General features: G+C 47.5%; 1 protein-coding gene across 28 annotated transcripts in view, besides 3 other annotated features; it reads right to left on the reverse strand.

Moving 5' to 3' along the window:
• ZDHHC3 (zDHHC palmitoyltransferase 3) overlaps positions 1–21497 on the reverse strand; it is a 60914-nt gene that overhangs the window by 23710 nt on the left and 15707 nt on the right. For 11 of the 28 annotated variants that reach the window (NM_001349377.2, XM_017006562.2, NM_001135179.2 and 8 more), the window contains 2 exons: positions 20161–20490; positions 6198–6322 (listed from right to left, as the gene is read on the reverse strand). In NM_001349377.2, the coding sequence (NP_001336306.1) occupies positions 6198–6322; positions 20161–20466 (431 nt within the window). In that variant the 5' untranslated portion in view covers positions 20467–20490. Of the gene's footprint in view, positions 1–6197; positions 6323–19617; positions 19716–20156; positions 20491–21497 lie in introns of those variants that run through there. The other 17 variants (XM_047448265.1, XM_047448264.1, NM_001330761.2 and 14 more) reach the window with 5 other exon arrangements.
• Positions 563–1064: an enhancer, noted in NCBI's record as "H3K4me1 hESC enhancer chr3:44981025-44981526 (GRCh37/hg19 assembly coordinates)". NCBI's record gives its function as "activates a minimal SCP1, AML or CMV promoter by ChIP-STARR-seq in naive H9 embryonic stem cells {active_cell/tissue: H9 hESC(naive)}" and the evidence as "EXISTENCE:reporter gene assay evidence [ECO:0000049][PMID:30033119]".
• Positions 1065–1564: an enhancer, noted in NCBI's record as "H3K4me1 hESC enhancer chr3:44981527-44982026 (GRCh37/hg19 assembly coordinates)". NCBI's record gives its function as "activates a minimal SCP1, AML or CMV promoter by ChIP-STARR-seq in naive H9 embryonic stem cells {active_cell/tissue: H9 hESC(naive)}" and the evidence as "EXISTENCE:reporter gene assay evidence [ECO:0000049][PMID:30033119]".
• Positions 20009–21208: an enhancer, noted in NCBI's record as "BRD4-independent group 4 enhancer chr3:45000471-45001670 (GRCh37/hg19 assembly coordinates)". NCBI's record gives its function as "activates an origin of replication core promoter dependent on BRD2, P300/CBP, MED14 and CDK7 cofactors, and independent of BRD4, by STARR-seq in HCT116 cells {active_cell/tissue: HCT116}" and the evidence as "EXISTENCE:reporter gene assay evidence [ECO:0000049][PMID:35650434]".

A 21497-nucleotide genomic window follows, 5' to 3' on the forward strand; every position in this document is an offset into this window, starting at 1 on the left:
TCTGTACAAAATAAGTTTATTATAAAGAATACATGAGACAGATATTGTGCCTGGCTCAGACGATGTGTGGATTCATACTGGTCTGCACCCTTGCTCTTTTCCACAACTTCAAAGGGCCTTACTAACACAGGCATGTTGGGAATGGGTATATCTCAGACATGCTGGCCTGGTTCCAGAATTTCCCTGGGGACCAGGAGGGCAAGGTAAGAAAAGGAGACACAAAAGGGACATGGAGGTAACAAAGAGCAAGAGAAGTACCAGCAAGTCCATTAGCCACTCTGCTTCTCTCTCTCTGTTACCACTTTTAAAAATACACATGAATATACATATAAGTATACATGCAGAATATATATTTTTAAATTGGTAATGCCTGTTCCCAATACACAATTTTAAAAGTGCAGATAAGCAGACAGTGCAGAGTGAGTACTCCCTGCATCCTAGGCCTCAGGCACCAGGTGCCATGCTCCCACCATAGAGCCTGTTTCTGGCATGTTCTTCCAGAGACCAGCACCTCTGGGTTTCTTAATCCCCTTCCCATCTGGGGAACAAACTCCTGAGGGTAACCACCTCCCTGCTCCTGGCTCCTGAGCAGTTTCTCTTTCATCTGCACTTATTTTTAAAAGGGTTTTCAAGTGGGTGCTCTTGAGACAGTGTTGGCTCAGCGGCAGAGAGGTGCCAAGTGGCTGGACATCCTCTGAAAGCTGCCCAAGAGTTTAAACAAGCTCTTACAGCAAAGCTATTCTTCCCTCTCCTCCCAGCCTCTCTGGAGACAAGGCGTGAATGCCAGGAAGCTGGGTTTCCCAATGGGCTGAGTCTCGCTGGGCTTCCAAATTAGAAAAATAAACACCGCAGGGAGAGTGAGTACAGCCTGCTGAGGGCCACAAGTGTTGGTCTAAAATGCTGGTCCCCGAGTTTCCTGTTTTCAAAGATATGAAATGCCAAACCCACACTACCCTTCTCCTTGGGCCAGGTGGTATGCAGAGTGGGTGGGGTGAGGCCCATCCCACGTGGCTGGAGGCACTGCTCAGAGGCTGAGCTGCTCACAGAGGCCAGAAGGGTGCTGGGGCTGGAGCCTGGAGCAACCAAGGACAGGGACCAGAGGCAGATGTTGAAGGGCAGTGAAGGACATACCACACCCTGCCCTGCTGTTTCACCTCTGGCACCATCTGCCATGAGGAAGAAAAAATGTGGACCTCCCCCCACAACTCCTGACTCCCAAAGGGAATCAATCACCTCAGAGCCAGCCCTTTTCCCAGCCCCCACTGCATGCACATGGGCAGGGGGCTCAGCAGTGTTCCCTCCCTAGGCATAGCAGGGCAGCCCAAACACAAGGCCAAGGAAGGCTCACAGATCACAGACTAAGAGCCTCTTCCACACACTTGCTCAGCCATCTTCCCCGTTTTGGCTGTGGATGGCCTCAACACCTGAGGCCCTTTCTTCATTCTTTCCACTTGGCAAAATCCACCCTATCCTCTAAGGGTCCTTCTTGTCCACAGTCCTCTCCTGGCATTCCTTTCTGGCACTAATTCCAGAGTCTCGTGGATGAGACGCTGTAAGCTGGTGAGCTCCATGGCACAGGGACCAAGTGTGCAAAAACAATCACAGAAAAGACCAAATGCCCTAAATGGAGGTATCTGCATCCTGGCCTTCCAGGTTTCCCAGGCCCCTTCTATGTTTCTTTGTCGTCACTGTAGAAGAAGGCAGATGCTTCCCTTCTCCCCTTCCTCCAGATTTCCTACCATTTTTTCAGGCCTCAAACCTTGGTAGAATCCACCAAGCTCACTGGCTCATATGTATTCAGTTTCTCTGGGGCTTATGTGTTTCCTCTCCAAGGAGGTATGAGGGCCCTTACTTGGTACTCATCCCCAAAGGAGCTGGCCGAGGCTCTCTTGCTCACCCTGGGTGATGGCTCAACATGGAAACATAGCCACATTCCATGGGGTTCTGTCTCTCCCTATACCAGCACTTACCAAACTATATCATGGTGGAGAAGTGTGCCTGCCCTGCTTGGGTGGCAGGCTCCTAGAGCCAGGGCCAGGTCTAATCCACCTCTATAAGCTCAGAGTCGAGCTCAGAGCCAAGCCCAGGGCCCCCTTTAGCAAGGGTCAGCTGAATGAAGTCTCTGACACCACAGACAGGAAAGAGCAGGCCTGGAAAATGAGTTCAACTACATCAGACTGGGATGCTCATGTAGGAAAATAGTAAGAAAACAGCAAGAAGGTACTAAGTGAGCCATGGCGTCACACACAGGTTTTCATTTTACCCCTCACTGGCTATGACTAAAATTATAAGCAAAAAAGACATCTATACCACATCCTGGCTCCAGCTCAGAAACGATTTTGGGAAGGACAGTGCAGTGGAGTGGAAAGAACAGGGGATCTGAGAGCAGGTCCTCATTTTGGGCTCTGGTCAGAGAAACTTAGGTTCTCCAATCAGCCTCAGCAGAACTACTCTGATCTCTTAGGGTCATTGTGAGCACCAAAAATGTATGCAAAATGCTTTAAAAACAATACTAGTGCTACATAGATTTTCTCAGTAATCATAACCATGAGAAAGACAAAACAAGAATCTCTCAGGGGCTCTAAGCAGCCCAGGACTGTCTTAGCCTCAGTGTGGGTGTCTGGGGTGTGGAGGCGGGGGGCTGCCAAAGTCAGAGGTCTCTCCCTCCTCATGCAGAAGAACCTAGCAGGAGTGTCTAATCTTTTGTCTTCTCTGGGCCACACTGGTAGAAGAAGAACTGTCTTGGGCCACACAAAATACACTAACACTAACAACAGCTGATGAGCTAAAAAAAAAAAAAAAAAGTCTATGCATACATGTCCTAATGTTTAAGAAAGTTTACAAATTTGTGTTGGGCCACATTCAAAGCCATCTTGGGCTGCAAGTGGCACACAGGCCATGGGTTGGACAAGCTTGAAAGCATAAGCCAAATGCCATGGCCATCCACATTAGCATAAATGGCTCCTCCCACAGAGTTTCCACATGCTTCCATGGTTCCTATGAACAGGAGATTTGACACCAGGATGAAAGAGCGTGGGGTTTCAGAGTGCTTCTCCCAGGAAGGAAAGACCCAACCACACACCATAGGGCTGGAAGGAACACCTACAGGCCCAAGGTCTAGGTGTATCTGTGGTATCCACCAGAGACAAGGGAATGGAGACAGTCTCAAATTCTAAAATGCTGGGCGCAAACGTATGTGCACACATGCACCTTTGCCTGAGCGGGCAAGGTCGACATCAACTTTAACCAGGCAGGCAGCCTCTGGGCTCAACGACTATAAACAAACCCAGTCTGTCTGGTATGCTGGAGATTCTGCTTATCCAAAATTGTGGGTCCCCAGATGGCCTGGGCCACCACGCACCATCACAAAGGAGCAGTTGTCAGCATGCATTTCTGAGGCAGGAACAGGCAACTCTACAGGCATCCTCACTTTAGTTCATCTGAATCAGCAGCTCTTGCTTTGCCCAAGCTGATCTGTTTACTAGCACACAAGAATACCTCCCTTGGATCATCCTGGGGAGAGAGGCAAGGAGGAGGCAGTGAGGAAAATGCCAGGCGGTGGAGGCAGCTGAGGGCTCAGGGAGAGAAGAGAAAAGAATCACCAAAAGTTCTTTTCTATAATACAAAGTTAACACCTCCCTGTTCTGGTCCAGCCTTTATAAACCCAGCATATCCCTAACTCCATACACATTCTTCTATTAGCAATAGCTTACGCTTGTTGAGCTAGGTGACTCACAGTTACTCATACTTAATCCTCACAACAAACTACAAAGAAACAACCCTTTTTACAGAGGAGAAAGCTGAGGCTCAGAAAGATGCAGCACCTGGCCGAAGGTCCACCGTGTAGCAAGCGACACAGCTGAACTTCCAACACCAACCACTCCAACTTCAAGGCCAGAGTCTGCTCCACCATACCGGGCTATCCTGAGAAACCACATAAGCAAGCTGAGCTTTTTAAAAAAAATCTGAGTGATGGTTAGAAAACAGCTGGCTCCTAAGCCCGAGAGTGGCAAGAAAAGACCAGACTGAAGCCTCCATCTCAGGCACAGGAGGCAAGCCTTGAATTAGATCTCAGAAGCAAGCTCACCCACAGACAGAAACCCCGGAGGAGCTAGCAATCACCATTGGCCCCTACCCAGGCTCCTCAGCCCTCACCCTCAAGCTTTGAGGAGGTCTGCAGATCTCTCTCTTTCAGACAGAAAAACATACATACAACTACATAAAGTTACATGTGTCATCCCCAAACTGGAGTTCCTGTGGAAAGAGCCCTGTCTGGACCTGGAGCCAGAACTGCCGGGACCCAAACCTGTCTCTAGTACTCACTGCTGTGTGACCGTGGAGCACTCAACCCCTTTGAACCTTAATTTCTTTATCTAGGGAGGCCATCCCTGCAGCAATCCCGATTTCCAGGGGTGAGTAGGAAGATGAAAATAGATGACTGACGCTGAGGCAGGGCAGGCTGAGGTGCCGTGGGCACAGCACACAGGTACTGGGGAGCTGACTCCGGAATCTGAGTGCTGGAGACTGGCCACTCTCCTCTGAAAGACAGGCAGCAAGGCCAGGCAGAAATCGCCGTTCAGATCTCTCACACACCCAAATGTCTCCGCAGGCTAAGCCTGACAAGGAAGATGTCCAACACCTGGAGCAGATTCAGTCCTCTATAACCCCTCCCCACCCAAACACATACCCTCTGAAAAGGGGACCAAGTGATATTTTTGTATTTCTGTAATTCAGCATGTAAAGTTTCCTTGTATGTCAGTCGAGGTGGCTCACACCTGTAATCCCAACACTTTGGGAGGCTGAGGTGGGAGGATCACTTGAGCCCAGGAGTTCGAGACCAGCCTGGGCAACAAAGTGAGACTGTGTCTCCCTTTGTGTGTGGTGGTGCATGCCTGTAGTCCCAGCTGCTCTGGAGGCTGAGGCAGGAGGATTGCTTGAGCCTGGGAGTCTGAAGCCGCAGTGAGCTATGAGCTTGCATGACAGAGTGAGACCCAGTCTCAAAATAAATAAATAAAATTTTTTTAGAGACAGGGTCTCACTTTGTTGCACAGGCTGGAGTGCAGTGGTGCAACCTTGGCTCACTGCAGCCTCGGACTCCTGGGATCAAGCGATGCTCTGCCCTCAGCCTCCTGAGCAGCTGGGGCTGCAGATGTGTGCCACCACACCCAGCTAATTAAAAAAAAATTTTTTTTTTTTGAGATGGAGTTTCACTCTTGTTGCCCAGGCTGGACTGCAATGGCACAATCTCGGCTCACCGCAACCTCTGCCTCCCGGGTTCAAGCGATTCTGCTTCGGCCTCCCGAATAGCTGGGATTACAGGCATGTGCCACCACGCCCGGCTAATTTTGTATCTTTAGTAAAGACAGAGTTTCTCCATGTTGGTCAGGCTGGTCTCGAACTCCTGACCTCAGGTGATCCGCCCGCCTCAGCCTCCTAAAGTGCTGGGATTACAGGCGTGAGCCACTGCGCCCGGCCTAATTTTTAAATTTTTTTGTAGAGATAGAGTCTCGCTTTGTTGCCCAGGCTGGTCTTGAACTCCTAGGCTCCAGTGATCCTCCTGCCTTGGCTTCCCAAAGTGCTGGGATTACAGGTGTAAGTCACTGTGCCCAGCCAATAAAGTACAACTTTTAGCTAGATGTCTTCTCATCAGAAAAACTTAATAAAGAAACCTGAAAACAAAACAGAAAACTGACCACAGATAAGATGGGGAAATGGCTTTCTTTTTTGGTTTAATTCTGCAACTATCATAACCTTTAGAAGTTTTAAAAGAAAGTCTTCATTCAAGGACAACCGCTTCATTTCAAGTCCCAGACATTCACAGAATGATTTTCTAAAGCTTTTTCTCATGGTACCCTTGTAATAAAGCTGTGAGGTAGGAAAAGCAGGAATCCCCTCCATTTTACATATATAAAAACAAAGGCCCTGCCCAGGTCCTATGTCAGGTGTGGCAGAGCCAAGTCCCGGGACAGGTGTCCTGAGGCCAAACCAAATGCTCTTTGCAATCTAGAGGGCTCACAGGGACCAGGAAGGAGACTCACAGTGATCACTCTCTGCCCAGAGCAGGGGACATTTGGAATCCCGATGCTGACTTGGCCCCTGTTGGGGAAGTGTGTGCTACTCCAGGAGGCAGGTGTTGGCGGGGATGGAGGGAGGCAGGACAGTGGGAGAAGAGAGGAGGCGAGCCCCAGTGAGTGTACCTGCAGTGGTGGGCTCGGTCGGGCTTGATGCTGCAGCATTTGGGGCACTTGTACACCACCTGCCCAGGCTTCAACTGTAAACTCTCGATGAATTCTTTAGTGGCATTTCCTTTGGGCACTGCCCCCTGTAGGAAAGATGAAAGGTATCAGGGTTGGGCTGGGGGTTCTATCAGCTCTAACATTCTACAGTGGGGATAGTTATTTGAAAGCAGCAACCACACACACACATGGACAGGACACTTTGATACCAACAACATGTGGACTCTGTGTTCAGAATTATGCCAACATTAAGGAATATTTATTGACCAAAAATTTTTCTGAGGAGATGCCATTAGGCCACATTAATTCTTTGATTTCTTTTCTTTTCTTTGTTTTTTTGTTTTGTTTTGTTTTTTGTTTTTTTTAGACAGAGTCTTGCTCTGTCGCCCAGGCTGGAGTGCAGTGGTGTGGTGTAATCTCGGCTTGCTGCAACCTCTGCCTCCTGGGTTCAAGCGATTTTCCTGCTTCAGCCTCCCGAGTAGCTTGGATTATAGGTGCTCGCCACCACGCCCAGCTAATTTTTTGTATTTTTAGTAGAGATGGGGTTTCACCATGTTGGCCAGGATGGTCTCAATCTCCTGACCTTGTGATCCGCCCGCCTCAGCCTCCCAAGGTGCTGGGATTACAGGTGCAAGCCACCACACCCGGCCAATTCTTTGATTAATTTTCTACACTAAACAGTGACATTGTTCCTGATTACTTTGTATTTTCATTTTACTGGAATTATTTTAATTGAATCCATTCTCTCCTATATAACAGCAAGGATTTGGCTCACTGACTATTTTTTGGTCTATATTAAATTTCCTGATAACAGCTTCTCCCTTTCTAAGTTTCACTGGTGAGCAACATGTCTAACAGTTTCCCCAGATCAAAATTTGCAGCTCCACATTTTAATGGGTTGTTTGCTGGGATTAAGTTTTACTTTTACCAGTGGTATTGTTATGAATAATTGTAATCTATATTTGGTTCTTAGTGAATCCATAAGCAACTGGGAGCTGCTGCCCTCAGGTATTTGACTTGCTGTCTGGCCAGAGCTGCCCTCTGATTTGCTCTTCCACCTGTGGAGTATGCTTGTGAATACTTAGCGTTCTTTAGAGCCAATGGCAGAGCCAAAATGCCATAAGATTCTGCTCTGGCTGTGCACCCATCCAAACAGAAGGAAAACAGGCAGTGCACAGGCCTAAGTAGGGTCTTAATAACCAACCTTCACCAAGAGCCTGCTTGGTGCTGAGCCCTGTGCTCTCATGCTCACTGCTATGGACTCAGGAATCACAGGAGGTCCCTGCTTCCAAGACTTATAGTGTTTTGGAGGCTGACAAACGATTCTAGTAAAAGAGGTTACATGCTGTGGAAGGTATTTGTGTTGAGGGAGCACAGAGGAGCCAGCAGCCAATTAATCAGGGGAATCAGAGGAGTTTTAAGTAGTGATGTTCAAGGGTTGTCTCGAGGAATGTATAGAGGCTGGCTAGGTAGACCTGTGGGAGAAAAGGGATTCCAGCAGAGGAGGGCATGAGTAATGACAAAGAGGTGAGGGTGAGCATGGCATATCTGGGAGACAGGGAGAATATCAGTGTGCTGAACTGTGCGTATGCAGTGTCAGCGGGGAGGCCGGACCGATGGGCCGGGGCCAGCCCATGTGGTGCGCTGAATACCAGGTTGGGATGGGATTTTTCTTTATAGGTAGCCTAGAGCCATTAGGTAACACTGGTGCTTCAGGAAGAGAGCTCAGTTGCCTGTGTTATGTGGATCATATAAGAAGAGGGAGAGATGAAAATTCCAGACACCACGTAGGAGGTTATTGTTGATGGTCCAGTAAGGAAAAACTGAATTACGAGGATGGAGCGGGAGAAGTGGAGAGGAAATTCTGAGATCTGAATCTACAAATGATGGTAGGGAACCAACTTGTTATTGGGTGGTGGAGAGGGTAACAAAAAGGGAGGAGATGAGCCCCAGTAGGGTTTCCATTTTTAGCAGCTGGTAAGTGGTGGCACGTCAAAACCATTAAGAGAGCAGAAGGAAGTTCTGAGAAGAGCTGATCAGTTCAGTTAGGGTATGCTGAGTCTGAAGTGCCTGAGGGACACCCAGGAAGGTAGCTGGGAATATAGGTCCAAGAAGTAAGAGAGAAGATCAGTCAGTGGCATAGCACAAAGGGTTAGAGCTGGCTTGGAAGTCCCCTGGCCTTGCTTTAAATCTGAGCTCTACATTTGCGAGTGGTGTGCCCACTGACAGGTGGGCCTATCTATGCCTTAGTTTCCTAATCAGTGAGGCAGGACTCATCTTATCTAATTCCCAGCATTACTGAGAAGGTTAAACTAGACATAGACAACTTGCAGAAAGGGCTCAGATGGTACTGCCACAGATAAAGTGCTCAGTAATATGGTGGTCTGTTTTCTGGGTCTGGTGTTGGCACCAATGCTGCAGCTTCAAAAAACTACAGATGCCTAGACTCTTATGCAGCACTACTATAAAAAAACTACCAGGGAGTATGGCCCTGACTTCTGCATTTTTTACACTCCCTAGCAGAGTCTTCTACTCTATAGCCAGGGCTGAGAGCTACTGTGCCAGACCAGAAACTCCATGATTGGGTCTACCTTGATCAGCACCAGATGCCCTGGCCTGGTACACAGTATGACACAAAGTGAAAGGTAAAAGATCCAGCAGCTTCCAGCAAAGGGGTGAAAGAAGTAGTGACAACAGGGAGCCAAGGATGTGCCATCCTGGGAACTCTGCCTGCTTGGCCCAGCTCCCAAACAAGAACCACACCTGACACGAGGTCAAGCCACAGCTATGGCATTGGACTGGGGCACTCTTCCCTCCATGACCCCTGTGTCAGGTCTACTTCACAGCAAGCTCCACTCCTCAGTAGGCACCCATGAGATACCACAATCAGGGAAGTCAGTGTAACATCAGAAGGACAGAAACTAAGACTGTCCCCACATTCTGCATGTGCCCAGAGTGAAAGTACAGTTTATTAGGGTGGGCAAATTGGGAGTTTCAGATAGAGCACCCTGGTCTCCCCAGAGTTGGACCGATGGATTATAACAGGCCAAGTGAGGGGTTCCCAGGGCAGAAGGGATGAAGACTGGGTGTCAGAACCTTTCCTATAAAAGAATTCTGGGAAGGGAAGAGCCACTGAAGAAACAGAAAAATCTTTAAGTGCTGGAAATGCAAGGGAGCTGTGGTTCTGTCTTGCACTGTGAAAATGACTCACAGTGGATTAAGATTCCAGCTAAGAAAACTGCAGAGACAAGTCAACCAACAACTCTCTCCTGAAGGTCTACACCATGCCGAACACTGTGGGAAGTACAAAGAAGCGATGGGAGCCCAGGCCTCATACAGCTGGTGGGTGGACAGGTGCAGATGCAGTGAGGCTGCTGAGGCAGAGCACCTAGAGAAAGGCATGGCCACCAGTGCGTCAGGAGCTAAAGGGAGGCAAGAGGACTGAAAGTGGGGATCCTAGGAAGGCCAGGAGGATCCTGGTGGATACTAAGCAGGAGAGGAGCACCTGGGAGGAAAATCAGTTCAAGCACGGTCCTAGAGGTGGGCCTACAGATCTCCTGTCGTCTGCTCTTCACATGACTCTTTGCTGGGCCCCAGCCCTTCCCCTGCTAAGCCTCTGCTTCTCCTGCCTCAGTGAGGACCTATTCACTCCTGAGATGGGCAGCACTTGGCTGACCTGTCATTCAGAGCAATGACGTGCTTCCCCACTGAGGATGAGGAGCCAAAGGCTCACAAGGAGCAGGAGACAAGGAGGCAATGAGAAAGTCTGAAGGAACACTTGTCCACATGCAAGCGCACCTCAGTGCTGCAGGCTCAGACTGAGAGTGGGGTGGAAATGAGGTCCTTTATACTCTTTCAACTCTCTAAAGCATTTCATTACTTTTTTTTTTTAAGTTAAAACAGTAGAAAAAAAATCTGGTCTGCAAAATGTAGTCAGATGTCAGAAAAGCCTATGACAGAAAGTTCAAAAGCAAACACATTTTGGTGGGCAAGGACCACATGGTATCTACAATACCAGTTAGAATACCGTTTTGGACATTAAATATGCTATAAAAATACACAATTATTGACACAGGAAACATCTATAACAGATTTTATATACATATACACATACATATAAATAAGAAAAAAGAAAAAAAATGTGTGGTGGTACATGTCTGTAATCTTAGCTACTTGGGAGGCCAAGGTGGGAGGATAGCTTGAGGCCAAGAGTTTGAGAGCAGCCTGGGCAACATAGTGAGACCCTATGTAGGAGGATCACAGGTACTTTTAATTTTCTTGACTATATTTATGAAATATTCTATTAGAAACAAGTGGCTTTTGCAAAGAGGAAATGATCCATTAAAAACAAGCAAAACAAAAACAAAAACAAAAACTTGAGGAGCCACCCAAAGTAGGAATATGATCAACTTTCCTGAGGCTTGTAACCAAAATGTCATTATTGTCTCACCTTGAGACATCCAACGGGCCACCAGTGAGGCACTGTGAAGGGCCAGGGTCTGGAAGGTTTCATGAAGGTGAGGCAGGGCCCAGACCACATGGCATAAGTGGATTTCCAAGGGGGCCTGGGAAGGGCACTGGTCCAGGCAGAGGACAGGGTCTCAAGCCCAAAGGGCCTTATTTTTCATTATTTTTTCTTTTTTTTTTGAAACAGGGTCTTGCTCTGTTGCCCAGGCTGGAGTGCAGTAGCACGATCTCAGCTCACTGCAGCTTTGACCTTCCAGGCTTAGGTGATCCTCCCACCTCAGCCGCCCAAGTAGCTGGAACTACCGGCACAAGCCACCATGTCCAGCTAATTACAAAAATTTTTTAGAGACAGGGTCTCACTATGTTGCCCAGGCTGGTCTTGAACTCCTGGACTCAAGCGATCCTCCTGCCTTGGCCTTCTGAAGTGCTGGGATTACAGGGGTGTGAGCCATTGTCCCCAGCTGTGTTCTCTTTCATGTAAAAAGTAATTGAGTTTGGGCAACTGTGTGGATCCTAAAACCAGAAAACCACAACTAGAAGTTACTATTGTCATGTGTATAAGAGAAAAAGTGCAAAGGGACATCCTTTCCCCCAAGGACATGAAGCAACGAGGCTTGAGTTTTCCTAAATTATGGCCCAGGTGGTTTTTTTGTTTAGTCCCAGTTTTTAAGAAGGTCCCAGCCACCAGAATGTACTGTAAGCCCCAGGGGACCCTGTATAAAAGACTGCAAGAGGAAACCTCTAACCCATAAAAGGGAATCAGAGCTCTTGTTTGGTATTCTCATTACGGCCTATTTATTCCAGACCTTGAGTAGAGACATCATTCAGCAGCTCAGCCTTTCTAAACATGTGCCCCCACAATGAGACTCCATTTGCATAAATCTCCCAAAAGGCCCATCTCCATTCAGGCAGGGCCCCACCCATCCAACCACCTGAGCCCACCTCTCAGAGCCAGAGAGCAGCTGGGCCAGCCCCCAAGACTGAGGAGTCTGATGCATACACTTTCCAGTCTCTGCCTCAGGCAACTTTTTGTTTCATTCTTTTTTAAAATGCATATTATGCTCTTTTGGGCTCATCTCCACAGATTTCAGAGCTCTTTGTTATTAGTTCATGGTAAGGAACTTTGTTCTTTACAATCCTGGACAGACAGCAGGAGATTGAAGGCCTGAGACATTTTTGTCACTGCTGTCATGCTTGCATTACTGAGAAATGCCTATCCCCCTACCCCACGTTCTTACACACTCCACAGGGATGTCTTGAAGCTTCCACACTGCTGCAAGCCTAGCAGGTCAAAATGCACTGACTTTATCTCTCTCATTTCCAAAGTAATACTTGTTCATGGTTTTAAGAAAGAAAATACAGATGAAAAAGTGGAAAAGGAAAAATTCACTCTGATTTGATCACCCAAGACAAGTACTACCAACATTCTGAAACATATTCTTAAAGTCTTTTCTCTTTGTACTAAAGTAAAAACACTTTAAAAAATCTATAGGCTCATAAAAAGCAGATCACAAAGCTTCCAAAATATACATTTGGCCCCACAGTGGAACCAATTTAAATCTGTTTTAAAATAAGTGTGTAGAAGCTGTTAAAGCTTTTCTGCTCTAGTCATGGCAGAACTCCTTCCACATTCTCTGCACAGAGCTCTGAGTTTTCAGTGCAGAAGGAACATAATGGTACTTGTATGTGCACCTGTGTGTATTTAGGGGTGGGGTAGGGTGTGATGTGCCTCCATCAGCCATTCCCCTTAGTAGGTAGCCCAAACTTCTAGTACCTTCCTTGACCCCTGCCCACTTCCTTTTCTATTTTGGAGCAAATTAAGGCTGCTAGGGTTAAATCCTTCTCATATTCCTCATCTCACTGCCTCACTGTCCCTGGACTCACGGGTACCCACTGTCTTGGAAGATGAGGCTCAAGTCAATCCTGGCCCTCAGGGCCCCCATACCATTACCTCCAAGCTTTCTCCTTGTGTTCTTAGCAGGCTCTGAGCTCTCCCTGCCCTTTCATAGCTAAGCTGCTTGAAGCCTTGTGCACCTGATGTCTCTGCTGACCTCTCCCTTACTGTTCATGCACCTGTCCCCTCCATACCAGGGAACTGTTCGCACCAGGTCACTGAGCAACTCACTGTGGCCAAATCCAAAAGTCAATTCTTAGCCCTTGTCTTCCTTGGGGTCTCCTCACTGTCCTTCTCCCTGTCTGTGGGGCTGTGCCTCTCCCCTCCTCTTGGAATCCCGCCCATCCAGGCTACTGGTGTTCCTCAGGGTTCAGGGTTTCACCCCAAGACTCCTTCCTTCCCTGCTCATTCTGCACTCTCTCCTGAACAATCTTCAACTCTACTTCCACCATCACTCGGTGATAATGCTCCAATCACAAGCTCCAACTCAGACCTCTTGAATCTGCAGATCTCTCTATTTGGCTGTCCCAAAGGCACTGTGCACAGCTAAAACGGAACCTGCTGCTTTCTCCCCAAACTGTTCCCTCAAGTCTCCCTTTCCTGGCCCATGGCATATCCATGTACCCTGTCACCTGGGGTAGAAATCCAGTAACCACCACCAATTCCTCTAATCCTCTTCCCCACATCCCATTCACTCCACCAGGTTAATTCTGCCTCAGACTGTGCCTTGAATCCCATGCTCTCCCCTCCATGCCATCATCATGCCTTAGTTCAGCCCATCATCATCTGCCCCAGACTATTAGAGCATCTCCCAGGTCTTCCTGCCTCTAGTCTCTCCCTCAAATCCTGCAACCCACTTCTATCCTTTCTCCCAACTAATTTCCAGAGTAAACTTTCTTAAATGGAAATCTGATCACATTATTCCCCTGGCCTAAAACCTTCACTGGCTCCCTAGGGACCATGGACCAGAGTCCAAGCTCCTGGGCAGGGCTCTTGAGGCCACCATATCTCAGCTCTGGACTACCAATCCAGTGCCACCTCCCTCCGTAAACAGTCCCTCCCTGTGGTCTATTTGGAGTTTCCCAAAGGCAACATTCTAAGTTTTCCTTTCTACCCTCAGGGGCTCCATTTAAGCACCAACCAAACCCTCACCCGCTCCAACTTGCCAGGCACCTCCTTGCTTCTAGCACCCAAATTAAAATGCACCCAGGGATCACCTTCTCTGCTACTTCCTCATGGCCCCAGGCCACATCCAAGGCAGAACCCATTACTTAGCCTTTGTGCTACCACAGCTTGTATGTATAGTATGGAACACGTCATTTAATTACACACCATCTCTCCTACATCACAAGACATTCCTGGAGGACAAGACAACATCTGTCAACTTGTAGCTCAGCAAACTGCTTAGGGCCTGGCACGAAGAATGTATTCAATAACTCAAGCTGAATAATGATACATTTATTGAGCACTTACAGGCCAGGCATAGTTCCAAATGCTTTGTGACAAAACTGTATGTGTTAGTTACTTCTGACAACAAACCTATGAGGTAGAGATTGTGGTATTCCCCATTTTAAACATGAGGTAACAAAGGCAGGGAAGTCAAGCATCTTCCCAAGGTAACACAGCTAATAAGTGGCAGAAGTAGGGTTCTGACCCAGACAATCCAAGTCTAGAACCTATGTCACTATCAGAAGACAAACATATCATTACCAGGTATTTCTGTTAAGTGACTTGGAAAAAACTTTATTTTAATTGCCTGATGTCACAACATCATTCTACCACCACCAACTACCTCAGCACACTAGTATTAAGATTGAAACAGGCCTAGGATACTAAGGCTGTTTCAATAAGTATCTAGGATAATATGATAATATAAAAAGAAACAATGGAAAGTAGTGGAGACAGGTTCTAAAGAAATGCCAATAATTTCAAGGACTCAACATTCCATCCATTTCAAGCAACAAGAATGAAAACCTGCTTAAATTGTTTCAGGGCCATGGGATCAAAGCCCGTGCACACCCACCAGTCTGGGTAGAAACTCCAACAGCTCTCCCAGGAGCATGGTAACCAACCCCAGGCCTGCATCACTGGCCATGTGTCTCCTCCACAGAAAAGTAAAAGGTAGCTAGTTGGTCCCCAAATGGGCTGCTTTCCTCCCTCTGAAGCCAGAAAGCTTTTCCTGTTGGGATTTATAAGTTGCTCGGGGGCAGGGGTGAGAAGTTGCCTGGCATGAGGGAGAATGCAGCACGATACTCCAATGGACCCTCAGGCAAGTCCCCTAACCTGATGCAGTGAATGTGCCAATACTTCTGGGCAAGATGCACAAGGCGCTTCTCTGGCTGCATCCAGCACCTGGCCTGCTGTTCCTCTTCTATGTTCCCACAGGTCCAACATCATGCTGCCATGCTACCCTTCCAGGAAATACTTGCCACCTGGGCTCTGAACACAGCACATGCTCTGTAAGGCTGTTGAAAGAGACTCCAGAAGGGAATACCAATTGCATGTTTGAAGTGAGCCCCAATATTTCCACTCAATGACTTTTGGCAGCTGAAATGAAAATCAGTGGCCGGTAGTGGTCTGAGATAGTCATGGAGGTCTGTTTACAGCAAGGTGTTCACAGAGTGGGATTCAAGAGGGGTCGGGGTGGGGGAGCAGGTAGACAGACGAATTTTCTTTTCCTTAACAATGTGGTTAAATTGACTATAAATCCAGTCATGCACATCATGATGTTTCAGTCAATGACAAGTCCCTCAAGATTATAATACTATGTTTTTACTGTACCATTTCTATGTTTAGATATACAAATATTATCGTGTTACAGTTGCCCACAGTCAGTATTCAGTACAGTAACACGTTGCATGGGTTTGTAGCCTAGGAACAAGAGGCTATTCAATACGGCGTAGGTGTGCAGTAGGCTGTACCATCTAGGTTTGTGTAAGTACAGTCTATGATGTTTGCACAATGGTCAAATTGCCTAACAACACATTTCTCAGAACTTATCCCCATCAAGTGACACATGACTGTATATTCCTCCTTTTCTCAAGTCTCAGATTTGAAATAATTTATGAAGTTAATAAACGATAAGATCCAAAAAAGGAGGGGCAAAAATATACTGATCATAAGGGTTTATACAATTACTGTCATTGTGTAACACTTGGCTTTGAGCTTCCTGGCAGCCAGGACAAAAAGAAACAATCTACATCTGTCACGTTTAAGCATCTTCTGGGAGACAGACATTGTCTCAGAAATAAAGAAGCCCCTCAGGATTCCTGAGGGAGCTCAGAGAATGAGGAATTTGGAAAAGAAAAGGTGGTGAAACCAAGAAATGAGGAAAAGAGAGAGAAGGGTAGTAAGATAAGGGTTTCTGAGTCCAGTTTGTCTTCAAGAGGCTGCCTCCTCAGGACACATGGAGCCATTCTAGACTTATAAACGTCTAAAGTGTTTCCAGAACACAGAAAGCCCCTATAATGACATTACACAACCTCAGAGTGGGCAAGGAGAAGGCGTCAGGAGACCAAACATGAGCCTGACTTGTGCTCCTGCCCACACCCATGCTGCCTCCAGGCCAGCCTGCCTGTCAAGTGAGGCACCTGCCCTGCTCCTCTGTCCATTTGTCCTCCTCCCTCTGTTTAGAGACCTGTCCCTTTTGCCCTATTTCTCAAACGGCTGTCTCACTTCCAAGGGGGCTGTTTACAAATCTGTGAGTCATTTCCCACTTCCCTTTTCTTTTCAAGCTCTATGTGGACCTATCTACTGCTACATTGGAGTAAATCACTGAAAAATGGTCCAGAAGGCTATAGTGGTTGCAATTGTTCAGATATTACACTTGGAATAATTATTCCAAAGCTGAAAGTGGTAAAGTAACTGCTTGAGGGAGACCACAAGGTTTTTATATATATATATATATATGTATATATATATATTTTAAACTAGTAATGATAACAAACCAAAGTGATACACAATGCATACATTGCTTATAACCTTTGGATATAAACTGTTCTGAAAAAGTATGTGCAACATGAATTCTTGAGATATAAAACATAATCCCATTAGGGAACTCCTTAGAACCCTGCAGTGACCACTTTCTAAAAAAAGACGACTGCAATATTAATAAGGAACCCCTAACTTACCTGCTTATCACCTGGGCTTCCAACTCTGCTCCTTGGAATCCCAGGGTGCCCCAGCAGTGCCTTAGGAGCTCCCGCTTCTGCAGCCCCACCTCTCTGTTTTGCATACTGGGTTTTGCATGAGATATCATGTGCTGGGGATGGGCAGAGGCAGGTGGTAGCATGAAGACCCTAAAATAGGGCACATCTATAGAACATGCTCTCAGTTGCTTCCCTTACTAATGGTAGATATTTGACAAATTCTTCATTTTTGGGGCCAGTTATCTTTGGGGCTACCAGCAAAATACACCTCTGGGAAGCTAACTGTTGTTTAGGATACAGTCTGTGCCTCTCACTGCTTTGGGATTGGAAGCTGGCAACACACCACAGTGAGAATCATGCTGTTCTGCATCCACTGCAAGGGCCAGCTGGCCAAGGTCCCTGGAGAGGCTGTACGCTTCAATGCAGTGGGTAAAGAACCCATGTATGTGAGGGCAGTGGGAATGCCAGGGCAGAAGGCTCCCCTCTCACTGCCCAACATCCAGTTCCCTGTTTTCACATGCCTTACAGAAACCAATGACCTCCACACACACTCTCTCCAACCCTGATCCTCCATCAGCTCCAGACTGACTATCTACTGCCCACCTAGCATCTCTCCTTGCACATAATATAGTGGCAGTCTGACTAGAACATAAGCCTTGATTTCTCCTCCAAAATCAATAATGGGCACCAGTGCTCCCCAGGCTGCTCTAGCTAAGACTCTGGAAGGTATACTCTCCAATCTCTCTCCATTCTGTCAGTTCTGAACTGCATTCTCAGGCCTGGCCTGAGAGGTAAATGTGAGGGAAACGTGGGAGCTCTAAAGCATTCGAATACCCAGGGCCCTGCCCCCAGACCAATTATAGTAGTCTCTGGGGGTGAGGCCCAGCCATCAGTACTTTTAAACAGCTCTCCAAGAGATGGTACAGGCAGGATTGAAAACTAATAGCTTAAAACAGACTCCAAATCCAACAGCTTCTCTCTGGTTTCACTGCTCTCACTTTGGTCCGAGCCACACCATGTCTTGCCCGGACCACTGCAATACCTCTAGTCCCCCTGCTTCTACTTGTAACACCTTGAACCTCCATTGCAAGCACAATGCAAATCAGATCACACCCTGTCTCTCTGAAGGCTGCCGGCTGCACTTAGAATAAAATCCAAAGTTCTCATGAGGCCTACCAGGCCCTGCACAATCTGGCCTCTGAGGCCCTCTTCACCTCTTCCAACCACTCTTACCCCCACCTACCATGTTTTGATCACCCTGGTCCTAGTCCTGTTTCTCAGATGTGCTGAGCATGTTTCTGTCTCTGGGCCTTTGAATCTACTCTTTTCTCTACCCTTGGATCTTCGTCTGCCTGGCTTGTAGCTTCATGCCATTCAGGTCAGCTCAAAAGGCACCACCTCAGAGATGACTTCTTAGACCACCTTGATCTAAAGTAGTCCCCCTTTGCCCCAGAAAGTCAACAGCACATCATCCTGGTCACTTTGTCTTATTGTCTTTAAAGCACTTACCACTTTCCAAAATACCCTGTTCAATCATGTCCTTCCTACCTGACCCCGTCACTACAAAGTGAGCTTCACAAGGGCAGGAATTTGCATCTGTCTTGCTCATAGCTGTAGCCATTGCTCAGAAAGCAATCTCTCACAGAATGGGCACTCAGGAAACATGGCTATTCATTTTATTCCCACACCAGTGCCACTCCTCCTCACTACTGCCAGAAAGAGACTTGTAAAATGACAGTTTTGTTTAAGATGTGTTGAAAATCCTTAGGGGCCCTAAACTGCCCCTCATCATCAAACTCCCATCCTCCTCCTTAGGCACCTCGCCCACATCACCAACCTAAATCCATTCTCTTCCTAAGTTCCCACCACTCCTGGTGCCTAGAGGAGCCATGCTCCTGCATTCCTACGTCTCTGTGCAAGCTGCTCCCTCTGCCTCCTTCCTGTCCTCAATGTCCACTGCTCGGAGAAGAGCTGGCTTGGGCATCGCTTCCTCTAAGCAGTCACCTCTATATGTTGATTAATCTCTCCACCCTTGTTCTCCCACAGCAATCCACATTTCTTTCTGCCAAACCTTCATCACACAGGGTTATCATCACCTGTCTTTTCTAGACAGAGGGCATCTTGAGGGTAAGAACAGTATCTGGGGCTTAGTAGACAGTAAACTATGAACTGAGCAAAGCAATGTTTTTTACTTCTATATCCCCAATAGCAATGGTATCATAAACATTTCTGAATAAATCCTTAACTTATTTTCAGCATGACCATATAGATGCTGCTGGGAAAACTCTTTCATATCCTTGTGTTTGGGGACACTTAGGATTATACCCATATACATGGCTTCCCTCAGGCGATGGCTGTCCCGCATGCAGTGCTAAATACTAGGCAAACAGGCCCCTGCCTGCTGGTGTGTTTGGTCTCCCTGAGGCATGCGCAGGAACAGAGATGCTGTCTGGACCAGTGGCTGATATGTAATTGAGTTGGGAAAGCTGCTTTCCTTTGGGATGGATTAATAATAATCTACCACCTGAACCGGCAGGAAATGGAGCCCTTTGAGACAAGAACTAGCTCAGGCCCATTATCATCATCACTACTGCACTTTCCCTGGGGCTCACAGAAACAAAATCTGTATGGCCAGTGTCACTGCTAGTAGCAGTGCTTTCCCTCTCTTAAACACACACGTCCCACGTACTGAAACAAGCCACAGGAGGTCTTTATCAAATAATGTATTCTCTTGCTTTTCCCATACAAGAAAAGGAACAGAACAGAGGGTTTAATACCAGGGTGCACAAACATTCAATAGCCACGTGCGCAGCTTGGCATATTTAGCTAAGTCATTGAGCAGAACACTACTGCTTTACCCACAGATATTCACCAAGAGGCACTTGCTGCGGCCTGAAACAGGCTTGTCCAGCTTTTCAGGAAAAGATGCACCTCGCCCAAGCAAAGTGAAGGCCATTTCCGTGCAGGTTCCTGGAATTGGATGTGGCTTTAATTTCAAGTCCACCTAGCTCCAGCACTGTCTTCACTGGGAAGCCCAATCCTGACCCAACCCTCCAGCATGCTTTCTGCTCTGATCATCTGGCCCCAGTCTTCAAGGTTATCTGTGTCTTTTTAACCAGAGGCCAGGTTTCCCCCAGACCAAACCCCTCCCAGAGCAGGCCCAATGAATGTATATATCCATGTACTTATAGTATCATTTAACCAAGACAGATAGGCTGTGGTACAGGTGTTGACCCCTCTTCCCTGGCCAGAATTCCACAGAACTCTGAACAAGGCAGAGATCTACTTCCTCACCCTCCCCTGGCCCTCCTATCCTCCAAGTTCCCAAGGTCCAGGGGGAACATGCAGGCTGTGGCCATGCCAGAGCCAGAGGAGGAGAGTGTGGGCTGGTCAAAACAAGCCCAGACATACTCACGGGGTCCGTCAGCATGGCCCGGCAGTGGGAGGCCAGGGCCAAGAAGGCCAGCAGGTTGAACACAATTCCGTTGATGATGCTATACACGTAGTCTCGAGATGGAATCAGCATGACAAAGAGGACCACGAACTCCGCATAGAGGACCAGAAACCAGGTAACGATGGCACAGGCGATGCCACAGCCGTCACGGATAAACCACATGGTTCCCACAGGACCAGGGTAGGGGGGTGGGACACACTTCTCTGGCTGGAGGTATTCTGGTTTCCGCTCAATGTTTCGGAAGTGGTGGGTGGGGATAAGCATCATAAGCTATTCTGTCCATACTGGCATCTGAAAGAGAGAGGAAAGAATCCAGAAACTTGGTGTTGTCTTGTCATCAAGGAGGTTTGACAAAATTGCTCCCATAGTGAGTTGTGATTACTTATCTGCAACCCCTGTGTGCAAAGCCACCTAATCACCTTGTTCATTTAAAACATGAGTTCTCTTCCCTGATTCTGAGAGTCAATTTAGCCTTCTTGAAACAGGGCCTTCACATGACAGATAATAAAAAGGGAGCCTCTAAAGGGTAAATGCCTTGCCCAAGGTCAGCCAGAGCAGAAGCAGGTGACACAGCCTGCCAATTTGTTTTTTTCTTTTTTTGAGACCAGGTGGGGTCTCACTCTGTCATTCAGGCTGGAGTGCAGTGGCACCGTCTTAGGTCAATGCAGCCTCGACCTCCCACCTCGGGCTCAAGGGATCCTCCCACCTCAACCTCCCAAGTACCTAGAACTACAGGCACGCACCACCACACCTGGCTAATTTTTATATTTTTTTGTAGAGATGGGGTTTTGCCATGTTGCCCAGGCTGATCTCAAACTCCTGAGCTCAAGTTATCTGCCCACCTCGGCCTCCCAAGGTGCTGGGATTATAGGCGTGAGCCACGGCACCCAGGCCAGCCTGGCAATTTAGAGGTGGCACTAGAACCTAGGTCTCCTTAGTTATTAGAGATCTACTGGGTAGACAGTACCTCAATAGATATGTTCAAATTTTGACTTAAAAGGCAAGGAGAGGCAGAGAGAAGGGGAGAGAGTTCAAAGATGTTTTCCTACCACCTGGCTGAGGGGTGCTTCATGTGCCATTGTTTCCTCACCTGTGAAAACACCTACATTCCAGCCCTGGCCACCTCCTCCCAGGATTGCTGGTATGAAGGTTGAGGGAACTGGTGGAGGAGCTTGTGACGAATGATACAGATCATAACACTCTGTACACCTCACAGGTTATGCACATGTATTTTCTCTAGGAAATACATCCATTCCTTCTGAAACAAGTGCTGAGCAAAGCACTCTTTCTCTCTAGAA

The sequence above is a fragment of the Homo sapiens genome, chromosome 3, assembly GCF_000001405.40.
Source record: "Homo sapiens chromosome 3, GRCh38.p14 Primary Assembly".
Taxonomy (NCBI): Eukaryota; Metazoa; Chordata; class Mammalia; order Primates; family Hominidae; genus Homo; species Homo sapiens.